At 43.7% G+C, this 11,971-nt stretch overlaps 1 protein-coding gene across 1 annotated transcript; it reads right to left on the bottom strand.

The window, feature by feature from the left end:
* Nucleotides 1-610: 610 nt before the first annotated feature.
* On the bottom strand, nucleotides 611-11,684 carry HLA-DRB1 (major histocompatibility complex, class II, DR beta 1). Its single transcript, NM_002124.4, has 6 exons — nucleotides 11,479-11,684; nucleotides 5,945-6,214; nucleotides 3,393-3,674; nucleotides 2,582-2,692; nucleotides 2,083-2,106; nucleotides 611-940 (listed from the first exon to the last, which is right to left on the bottom strand). The coding sequence occupies exons 1-6, from the start codon at nucleotides 11,576-11,578 to the stop codon at nucleotides 927-929; spliced, it is 801 nt and encodes a 266-aa protein (NP_002115.2). The 5' UTR covers nucleotides 11,579-11,684; the 3' UTR covers nucleotides 611-926.
* Nucleotides 11,685-11,971: the final 287 nt, after the last annotated feature.

Consider the following 11,971-nt stretch of genomic DNA (forward strand, 5'->3'; position numbering starts at 1 on the left):
AATAAAATAACAGTCGTCTCTGACAGTGGAGAAATTATGCTCAAATGATTATTAATTTGAAATAGACCTCTGAATTATGTACTTTTAGATTTGACATTTCATACTGACTCTCAGATAGAACATAACGGAGAACTCTCCATCTTCTAAATGTGTCTTTCTCTGAAATCTGTACAAGTCCTTTGATAACACTGTATTATTGAAGTCTCTGGAGTGAAACACTATACACTAATTTACAGTTATAAATACAAAATATTGTAGACGAGATGAAGAAAGAGTTCTGATTGACTTGCTGGCTGGTTTCTCATCTCATGTTTGCCCAGTTTGTTTCAGTTGTTATAGTCTGTTCTCAGTTTTTATGCATTGCCTTTTTAAATGTTAGGATTACTTTTTTAATTGACAAGTAAAAATTGTATAGTATATTTATGTTGTACAGCATGAAGTTTTGATATATGGCTATAGTGTGGAATGTCTAAATCCAGCTATTTAACATACGCATTACCTCACACACTCATGACATATACATGAAAATCATTATTCTATTGGAAAATAATCTTCCCTTTTTCTTTTCATTTTCTGTCTTTGGAGCCAAATGGACCAGATGATATTTAACTCCATCTTTGAGAAACATTTAATAATGTAATGTGTTTGTCATACAGGGTGAATACAGATGCACGGGAGGCCATACGGTTTAGGCAAAGGGGAGCACAAAAGTTGAAGATGAGGCGCTGCCATCAATGCTGGGACTTCAGGCCAAGGGCAGGAGCTGAGGAAGCCACAAGGGAGGACATTTTCTGCAGTTGCCGAACCAGTAGCAACCAGGTCCTGAGAAAGCCCTCTCTTGTGGAAGAATAACTGCCAAGCAGGAAAGCTTTTCATCCTGCAAAGCCGGGGCAGAAAGTTCTTCCTTGAATGTGGTCATCTGCATTTCAGCTCAGGAATCCTGCAAAAGACAGAGGAGAGTGTTGTTTTCAACCTGGCTCTACTAACAGTTTCTTTTCCCCTCTTTCAAGGGCTCAGATGAGAGCACTGCAGGAAGAAGAAAAAGAAGTTCCTGAGTCTCCCCTGAGCCAATAGTCCCGCAGAGCACACCTTTTCTAAGTGGAGAGGAGGAATTTTGGTGTAAATTGCCTGATCAGAAATTTGGATCCAAAGTCTTTCCTATTATTTCTGTCTCATGCCTTATCACCTCTACCATCATTCTGGTGTGTCCTGAGTTTGTTCCTTCCGGTGGGTTTGTGGTCTCGCTGACTTCCTGCAGACCTTCACAGTGAGTGTTACAGCTCTTAAAGGCGGCAGGGATCCAAAGAGTGGGCAGCAGCAAGATTTATTGTGAAGATCAAAAGAACAAAACTTCCACAGCAGGGAAGAGGACCTGAGTGGGTTGCCACTGCTGGTTGGGGTGGCCAGCTTTTATTCCTGTATTTGTCCCTGCCCATGTCCTGCAGATTGGTCCATTTTAAAGAGTGCTGATTGGTCCATTTTAAAGAGTGGTGATTGGCCCATTTTAAAAGTGCTGATTGGTCCATTTTAAAGAGTGCTGATTGGTCTATTTTACAGAGTGCGAATTGGTCCATTTTACAAACATCCAGCTAGCCACAGAGAACCTATTGGTGTGTTTTTACAAAGCACTGATTGGTGCATTTAGAAACCTCTTGTAGGCCGGGCGCGGTGGCTCACGCCTGTAATCCCAGCACTTTGGGAGGCCGAGGCGGGCGGATCACGAGGTCAGGAGATCGAGACCATCCTGGCTAAAACGGTGAAACCCCGTCTCTACTAAAAATACAAAAAATTAGCCGGGCGTAGTGGCGGGCGCCTGTAGTCCCAGCTACTTGGGAGGCTGAGGCAGGAGAATGGCGTGAACCCGGGAGGCGGAGCTTGCAGTGAGCCGAGATCCCGCCACTGCACTCCAGCCTGGGCGACAGAGCGAGACTCCGTCTCAAAAAAAAAAAAAAAAAAAAAAACAAAAAAAAACCTCTTGTAAGAAAAGTTCTCCAAGTCCCCACCCCACCCAGAAGTCCAGCTGGCTTCACCTCTCACTAGGGAAACTGTGTCTGTTTCTAAAAGAGGATTAAAAGGTATTACCTGTTGGCTGAAGTCCAGAGTGTCCTGGGAAAAAGAGGAAAAGATATACACTTAAAAGTTATTGAAGCAAATCTGTCCTCCAACACAATGTCCCAGCCCCAGATCTCCCACCTGAGATTTCTCTAACACCACAACCCACACCAACCAGGGCAGAAAGGAGCAGAAACAGACCATGTGACCCATGAAGCCTGAAGTGTCTGTCACAGGATCCAGTGTAATTCCATTAGCCTTAGTGGCTCTTCCTTAATTTGCTCCAGGATCTCAAACCAAAGGACCCCTACTTGTTAACCTTCCTCTCGTCTCTGCAGGCCACAAGCTATTATGCTTTCACATAGTAACCATGCACTGATGATTTCTGGATTAGCAGGACATTAGAGCCGTTTGGGGAAAGAAAGGCTTTATTCAGGGCCACTCATATACTGAGAACTAACCTCAGCAAAGCCATAGTTCCTCCTCCAGAAAAGCCTATGGAGAGAGCCAGCTCCCAAAGGCTCCTCACCTTTCTGATTCCTGAAGTAGATGAACAGCCCGGCCCCAAGGAAGAGCAGGCCCAGCACAAAGCCCCCGACTCCACTCAGCATCTTGCTCTGTGCAGATTCAGACCGTGCTCCTGAGAGAGGAAGCCAGGTTTAGTGATGTTTATTCCAAATTGAACCTTTTTACTTGAGACTCTAAGATTTAGAGCTTTGAAAATGGGGCAGAAAGCTGCCTCACAAGAACTAAAATAACTAGCCATTTCAGGAGAAAAAAAGGATTTCAAATTACACTGAACAGTTACGACGTTCAGACATCAAACTCATTCAAATATTACAGCCTTGATGTAAGGCACAAGTTCAACATCTGATCCACAGAAAGCCTGAGACTCAATGAGGATAAGTAGTTTGTCTAGAGTGACAAAGCTAATAAAAAGCAGGGCTGAGATTGGACTCCCCTCATGTCAGGTAGGCCCCTACACTTCTCCTCTTCCCAGATCACAAAAAATAACTCAGAGCAACAGCACCAGAAACTCAGTCTCAGACCCAGAGGCAGGGCCTGGAGCCTGGGAGAGTGGGTGACCCTGACCTGCAAAATCATGGGGAGGTTCAAAAGAGGGACAGTCTCTCCCGCCTGGCAGGCGAGACTGCTTCTCCAGGAGGTACAGGTGTTTCTAGAAACACCTACAGGGCTACCCCCAGTGACCTGTGCTGATGGAGATGAGAACATGGAGCAAATTAAAATAGGATGTGGGAGAGGAGGAACCTGACACTCAGGGATTAGCACGGTCCCCTTCTTAGTGGGTGAGAAATTTAGGAAGTCAGAAAGCTGCTCACTCCATTCCACTGTGAGAGGGCTTGTCACGCTTGGGTGCTCCACTTGGCAGGTGTAAACCTCTCCACTTCGAGGAACTGTTTCCAGCATCACCAGGGTCTGGAAGGTCCAGTCTCCATTCTGGATCAGGCCTGTGGACACCATCCCAGCCTTCTCTTCCTGGCCGTTCAGGAACCACCTGACTTCAATGCTGCCTGGATAGAAACCACTCACAGAGCAGACCAGGAGGTTGTGGTGCTGCAGGGGCTGGGTCTTTGAAGGATATACAGTCACCTTAGGTTGGACTAGGAGAAAAACAACGTAGAGGGAATGAGTCAGGAAGACAGAGTAAGTCTCCTGGTTTGGCTGTGTGTCTGCTTCTCTGCAAACCCAGGCTCTGGCCTTGACCAGGCCTATAGCACAGCTGGCCATGTGACCTTACAGTGTCATCAGCCTGGAATTTAATCTTGACAGTGAGGACCCATTAGATTTGAGAGGTGTTGTGAAAAATTGTGTTTGTTTCTTCATAGTTTTAAATCGGCATGCATTGTCAAACTGTTTACAAATCTTGGAAAGTACAGAGTGTAGTAATTAAAACTGATATTTGAGCCAGGTTGCCTGGTTCGAATCCAAGGTCTGCCTTTTACTGGTTGATCCTGGAAGAGTTTTTTGATTCTTCTGTGTCTCAACTTTGTCACCTACAATGAAGGATAATTATACTAATTTACCTCTTGGGGTTATATGAGGATTAATGCACGTAAAATATATAAAACAATGACTGAAGATAGCCTTCAGTTTATGAGGTCAGAAAGCTTCTCACTCCATTCCACTGTGAGGGCACTCATCACACTTGAGTGCTCCACTTGGCACCTATTTATCATCCTTGTACACCTTGACAGAAAAATATGATTTAAAGCAATATGCATAGATAAAGGGACAGAGTTGGGTACATGAGGAAACCAAGTATGAATTTTAGGAATACTACTCCCATGCACTCACACCTTAGAACACAACAGAAATTGTTCTGCCCCTGGGAAGGTGGGACAGACAGAAATGATTCTCCAAATTTTTACTTTCCTAGAAAAGCATGAGTCCTGAAGCAGAGAGAAGGATTAGGGAACGTCATTTAAGTTTTGAAAGTTCTTATATTTACATTTAGCTGATCAATGCATCTCCCGTGCAACACAAGCATAATTATTATTAGGCCTATCATTGTAAAATGATTTTTCTTTCCAGAATCACATTTGGATTAAGGCAGTGTCTGGGACTCGTTACTTGGGGTGCTTATGCCCAGGAAAATCCCCGACACTAGCATACTCTCAATAAATACAACTATTTTTTTAGAAGTAAGGAGAAACCTGGAGACAACAATGCCACAAAATGGCAGATTTCAGATGGATTGTAGATCATTAATAAAAATGTTGCAATATATTTTATTAAATAAAAATGTTCAAATTCTTAACATGGAAAAGAATTTTCAAAATCCACATACAAACCACAAACTGGAGCAAATGCTGGATCAAATATCAATAAAGTGTTAATAATCTTATAGTACAAAGAACGCAGAAAGTCACTGAGAAAAATACTAAGCCCTCAAGATATTAGACCGTAGATCATTGTCCATTACCTACCAAATACAATAGGGAATTCTTAGAGCAATAATTATAATCGGCCAATAAATAGGGCAAAATAATTCAAAGGAATTACAAATAAAAAATATAAATTAAAAATTAACCAGAAACACACAATTTCAACTTCTGGTGAATGTCATAATAAAGGTCAACAAACGGGAAAGTGAGGTGAGTTGTGTCACAAATATTATATATAAAAGAATAATATGTAACTACTAGAAAACTACCAGCATTATAATAAAATAGTAACCGTGTCAAAACTTTAATTCAAAAAGTTAGTTTCACAGTCATTTCTACTATGTAAAAATATACACACTGAAAAAAACAAAAAACTAGGAAGAAATTTAGATCTAAAGAAGCTTCAGAGGTGCCTCAGAGGTCTACTCAGTTCCTCTAGAAATTAATCTATTGCTTTTACAAACAAACAGCACACACTTTTAATTCAGAGATTACACGAAGGGTGTATGCCAGGGAGAGTCTGGAACTGGCCTCCTCACATTATCCCAAACCTGCCTTACCCCTCAGCAGTCCTCCCCTAAACCTTCACCCCAACCACACACACCTTACATTTCCCTTCCCTGCATCTCTAAGGACCGAGATAATCAAGGTCTCCTCTCTCTCCAGCCCCCAGCACCCACCTCCCTTGTCACCTCCCCACAGAGGTCTCCAAGGATAAGAAACAGCCCCCTCCTGCCTCCCCTCCCACAACAGACACACAGACACAGACAAATCCACACTTTACACACACACCTGTGCTCTCAGAACTGCTTGCTCCGGACTGAGAGGATTCTAAATGCTCACAGATGGCGCTCTCTCTCTCTCTTCCTCTCTCTGTCTCTCTCTGTCTCTCTCTCACACACACACACACACACACACACACACACACACACACACTCAGATTCCCAGCTCACGGGGACTCAGGCCCCGCCCGCGGCCATGCTCACCTCGCCGCTGCACTGTGAAGCTCTCCACAACCCCGTAGTTGTGTCTGCAGTAGGTGTCCACCGCGGCCCGCGCCTGCTCCAGGATGTCCTTCTGGCTGTTCCAGTACTCAGCGTCAGGCCGCCCCAGCTCCGTCACCGCCCGGAACTCCCCCACGTCGCTGTCGAAGCGCACGGACTCCTCCTGGTTATAGAAGTATCTGTCCAGGAACCGCACCCGCTCCGTCCCATTGAAGAAATGACACTCCCTCTTAGGCTGCCACAGGAAACGTGCTGTGGGGACACGAACCATCCGGTCACAGGGCGGCCTCCTGAGAAGACACGGACAGCGACGCCACCATCCGGGGCTCCCTGAGCGGGGTGCGGGCGCTGGAACCTTAACCGGCCCCACCCGCAACGCCCACCACCTGCAGCCCAGGAGCTCATCCTCCGTCTTCCTGAGGCGAACGGGGGCCTGGGGGACCATGCGGGAAAACCCCTTCTCATCCCCAGGCTTTTGGGACCCCCTCCCTGCCTCCAGCCTGTTCTGGAGACCTCCAAGCAGGAGCTGGAGGAGGATCCGCCCAGCACCGCAGCCCGCGCCGCCTCCTCCTGGGAGCCCCAAAGACACTCTCTGCTCCTCTCATCCCACACGCTTTACCGGTACCTTCAACAGCACCCACCGCGTTCACCCTGTGAACACTTCCTTAGTGATGACCTTGTGCCAGGCCTGCGCTGCCTCTAGGAATCCAAACGAGGGAAAACAGACCTCTCCACTCCTCTGGGGGAGCTTAAAGAGCAGTGAAAGCGATGGCCAAAAACCAAACACACAAGAGCTTAGACAGCAATGAGAAATATCAGAAGTGTGGCGTTCTAGAGCAGAGAATAATAGAAGATTCCCAGTTAAATTTGGATTTCCAATAAATTATGGTTGTGTATCTGAAATTCAGATTTCACTAGGAACCTGTATTTTATTTGTAACTCTAGCCCAACTTGCTAGTCAAACCTCAGAAGAAGGAGTGATTTAATACTTCCTTGTGTTCTTGAACACATGCCCAGATAGACATATACAACGTTTAAAATGATAAATGCAAAATGAATGAAAGTTTCTCCTATACATCAGAACTAGCAGCCCTTGCATTTCTGTCCCCACTCTAAGAAACAGCCTGGTACATATGAATATCAGAAATTGTGTCAATAATTCAGACACAATATAGTCACTACTCACTAATGATGGTCAAACTCTCAAACTCTATAATCAGAAAACCTGAATAAAAACACGATCTCTTCTACTTGGGTCAATTTTTACCAACCATAAGCCTTTTTGTAATCTATCAAATGCATTTAATAATAGCGTAATCCTCACAGGATTACCGTTAAGTGTAAAATTAAATGATGACACTTCTTAGCACTGATCACATAATAAACACTCGAATACATTCCCATTTTAACTTTTCTGATCCTATAACTGCAGCTCATATTATTTTTTGTATTCCTTAATTCTAAAGCAATTAGTATCTTCATCATGATTTTGCAATTGTCTTCTGTTCTTCTATTAGTTTCATAAAGAATTGTCATTCTGAAGACATAGGGCAGAAACACTGGTTTATGTCAAATAATGCAGTATACCTAAACCTCACACAAAAAGCATCTGCTGACATAGAAGAAACGGACTTTCTATATGCTCAGATTTAAACTGCAATCTGATTTCCAGCACTAAATTTGTAATACTGGGTGTTACTTATAACCTCTCAATTTTAGATTCCAGAGATGTATATGTTTTTAAATACCACAGATACAACAGGATCATTATTGAAATTGAATACTGAAATTCATAGGCCTGATACACAGTCATTGCAAAATGTTACATGGCATATAGTGATGGCGACTGGATTCATTTTATTTATCACTCCATTCTCATGACCTAGAGTAATAACTGGTATATGCTATGTCACTAATAAATATTGGCTGTGTGAAATACTGGCTGTGTTAAATATTGGCTGTGTGACATTTTGCATGAGTAGTCACCACTGCACACAGGGGCTCTCCGTATTTCCTCGCTAATAATGACTGAGCATCTCTGGTTCACAGGTCCTCCTCCTTCTCTTCAGCTTCTTTAGCCTTTTCCTTTAGGTTCAGCTGGCTCCCTGAACCCAGAGAACAATCCTTCCCTGAAGCTCTCTACTCAAAACAGTCAACCTTAACCTCGTCCTCACTTTTACTCACTCTTCAAATGGTCCAATCCAGTTTCCTACCTGGATGCTCCATTGACTGCAAATATCGACTCCACCAAACCCAGCACTTGCTTCTCTATCATATTCTCACTTGCCCCTCCTCTTAGTGGTACTCACCACAATTGGCCTCTCCCTTCTCCTTGAAAATAATCTATTTTCCTGGACTTACACACATGATGTTCTCTTGGTTTTTCTCCAGCATCCTTGGGCTCTTTCTCAGCCCCCTTTGCTGGCCTGTGCCCTGTTCTTTTTTCTTCACACAATCCATCTCCCTATGTATCCTCTTCCACGCCCTGGAATTTAACACACTACACGTATTGCTGCTGCCAACATAAATACCTGAAGCCCTGGCCTCACCATGAGTCTCTTAAATGCCATTGACCTTCGGATTTCTCCACATAAATGTCAATCAATCATCTCATATTTAAACAAAACTTTTATTTCAAACCACCCACTTCAAATCATTTCCTCCCATAGTTTTTCCTATCTCAATAAACAACACTACCACCCATTTATTTGTCAAAAGAAAATCCTTAGGAATAAGCTTGATTGTTCTACCCCCTTTACAGTAATTCATTAACAAGCTAAGCAAAAATACATGCCAAGTCTGTCCACTTTATCTTTTTCACCATCTTTATCACTAATGCACTCCATGAAGCCACAAACCTGTTTTCCCTGAAGAATTCCCTGCTGTGCTCCTAAATAGTCTTCCTAACCACTAGTGAACCCCAACAATCCAATCCCCACAGAGTAGCTAGAATTAGTTTTAAACATTGAATATAGGCCGGGCGCAGTGGCTCACGCCTGTAATCCCAGCACTTTGGGAGGCCAAGGCGGGCGGATCACGAGGTCAGGAGATCGAGACCATCCTGGCTAACACGGTGAAACCCTATCCCTACTAAAAATACAAAAAATTAGCCAGGTGTGGTGGCATGCGCCTGTGGCCCCAGCTAATCGGGAGGCTGAGGCAGGAGAATCGCTTGAACCCAGGAGGCGGAGGTTGCAGTGAGCCGAGATTGTGCCACAGCAATCTAGCCTGGGCAACAGAGAGAGACTCCATCACAAAATAAAATAAAATAAACAAACAAATAAATAAATAATAAAATTTAATTTTTTTTTACTGTGGACATCAGAGCCTATAATGATGAGGCTCCTGAATTCCTCTCTGTGTCCTACCCTCATCTTCTGCCTCTCCATTTCCTTGCTTTCTATACATCAGCCCCTCTAGCTTTCTTTCTCTCCCTCCACATAATTTAACACATCAGGGCTTTCCCCCGATTCGGTCTCCCTGGAACTTTCATCCCTTAGATCTTCACGACTGTCTACTTATTTTGTTGTCTCAGCTGAATGTCACTTTCTCAGGTGGAGCTCCCTAACATATGAACTAAAGTAGGTGAATCCATGTCTCTCTTTTTCACAAACCTGATGTCTTTTCTTCAGTGCACTATGACTCTCTAACATTATCTTCTTTGTTAAATGCTTATTGGGTTAGTGTCTGTCTCCTCTACTCTTGTGTAACTTCCATGAGAGTAGGGACGCTCTCTAACTTAATCAAATAGAATGATTTGAACCTAGAATGGAGCCCAGTAAAGAGTAGCTGCTGAGAAAAATAAGTGTGGTTTACATGAATAAACCAGGGTATGGGAACTGATCACTGTAGGGATCCTGGAAAGCAAGAAGGGGCTCAAGCTCCAGCACTCTTTCATTTTAATGTCACACTAGACCCCTTCTCCTCCCAGTGATAAATACAGGCAAACTTCTTTTTTCTCCTCCTTCTAGTTGGAAGAAGAATTCACAGATAAAGAAACAGTGATTTAAGAAAAAGGAAATTTTTTTATTAAGAGTCATCTCTTTTGCCTGGGCACAGTGTCTCACATCTATAATCCTAGCATGTTGGGAGGCCAAGGCAGGAGGATTGCTTGAGTCCAGCAGTTCAAGACCAGCCTGGGCAACATGGCAAAATCTCATGTCTACCAAAATTACAAAAATTAGCTGGGCGTGGTTGCCTGCCTGTATTCCCAGCTACTCTGGAGCCTGAGGAGGGAGGATCACTTGAGCATAAGTGGCAGAGGTTGCAGTGAGCCTCGATCACACCACTGAGCTATAGACTGGGTGACAGAGCCAGGCCCTACCTCAAAAAGAGAAAAAAAGTCTCTTTCAATGAATCTCATAGTGCTAAGGTTCTGTGCAAGCTTTAGAGATTTCTGGAAATGATGACAACATAGCTGGGGAAAAATAGAAACTGGAGGAAGAGGTAAGCAGACATGGCTAGTTAAGGAAAGCTGAGGGCATGATGGGTGAACCTAGGAAATTTAGGACAAGACCCCAGTAAGACAATGAGTTCCCAAGACTTGCCCATTGACTTTCAGCCCTATGAGACGTGAACAATGTTCACATCATCTCGGTAACCCCACACAGAGTATATAGTTTGAACATTATTAAATTTCTGATAGTTGATTATTTTTGACTTAAAAAATAGAATTTCATATAATTTATACATTAGTTAAATCTCTTCTGTCATGTCTAGTTAGAGCACATAGGAGATGCAAGAGAAACAAGTACAGAAAGGTTAAAAAAGATTCATAATGAACACGAACCTGGGCTAGTTTTTCAGAGGATGCCTTAAGTTCTTTAGGCACCAAAGAATACCTCATAAATGCTCTGTATCTGTAAGGTGACTCCAAGTATTAACAATCTCAGCTTCAGTTCCAGGGACTTTTCCCCACAAGAAAGGAAGAGCACTAAGTATAACTTCTGTCAGAGAACCTACATACACTACAGGGATACAGGCCTTATAAACATTGGAGTTCAGCAAGAAAAGAAAGGAGATAATGGGGAGGCCACTGGGTCCATCCTCACATATGAGGACTATGGCCAACACCAAAGGTCCTGTGGGGAACCTAACACTGGATCGTCTAGGAGAGACCCTTTGAATTCCCTTGACTCCCACAAAATTTTCAGTAAGAACCTCCTTTTGTCTGACATAAGTCAACATAATAAAGGGAAGTGCTGTATGGGGAATTTATTTTAGAATCCTTATTTCTAAATCCTCTAAAGACCCTGAGGACATGTGATGCAAAGGTTTTATTGGTGGAGATTTGAAAAGAAATGATTTGTGCAAAGGCCCCTTACACAAGTCTCATGAAGAGGGCAAGTACCCAAGCTCCTTTTATGGAGGAAATAATTTGGGATCCAATGATAAAGATGGGCAATCTCTGAAGAAAACGTCACAATTTCTTAAGGGACATGGCCTGGGCACAATGTTAACAAAACTCCCTATTTTCCCCACCCCATAGTAGCTCAGCACCCGCAATGTGCACTTACGTCGGGTGTCCCCAGACAAAGCCAGTGGGGAGCTCAGCACCATCAGTGTCACTGTCAGCGCTGTCATGCAGGAGCCTCCAGGGAGCTTCAGACACACCATGCTGGAGAACAGGACAGGACCAGGGGCCAGAGAAGCAGGCAAGTCTCACTCAGGGAGAACTATGAACCCCTCCACCCACATTCCAAGTTATAGGGAGGAAGTTACTGATTTCCTTGCTCCTGGGTTGGGTAATCTCGTGTTGGAGAACCAATCAGCATCTGAGTTCAATAGCATCATCAGTTGCTGGTCAGAGATGCTGTATGAAGGTCCTCTTCTGAAACAGAATTTCCTTCTTTAAAGGATTGTTTTAATTTAGCACTTGGAAGGTTTGAACCAGTTGCATGTAAAACACCTTAATTGGGGAGCTATTGTAGCCAGCTCTGTGCTGGTCAGTGATGTGTTCACAAGTTTGAGCCTTGTAAGAGCATTCATTTCCCACTTGACAAGACAACT

This window comes from Homo sapiens, chromosome 6 (assembly GCF_000001405.40).
Source record: "Homo sapiens chromosome 6, GRCh38.p14 Primary Assembly".
In the NCBI taxonomy this organism is placed as follows: domain Eukaryota; kingdom Metazoa; phylum Chordata; class Mammalia; order Primates; family Hominidae; genus Homo; species Homo sapiens.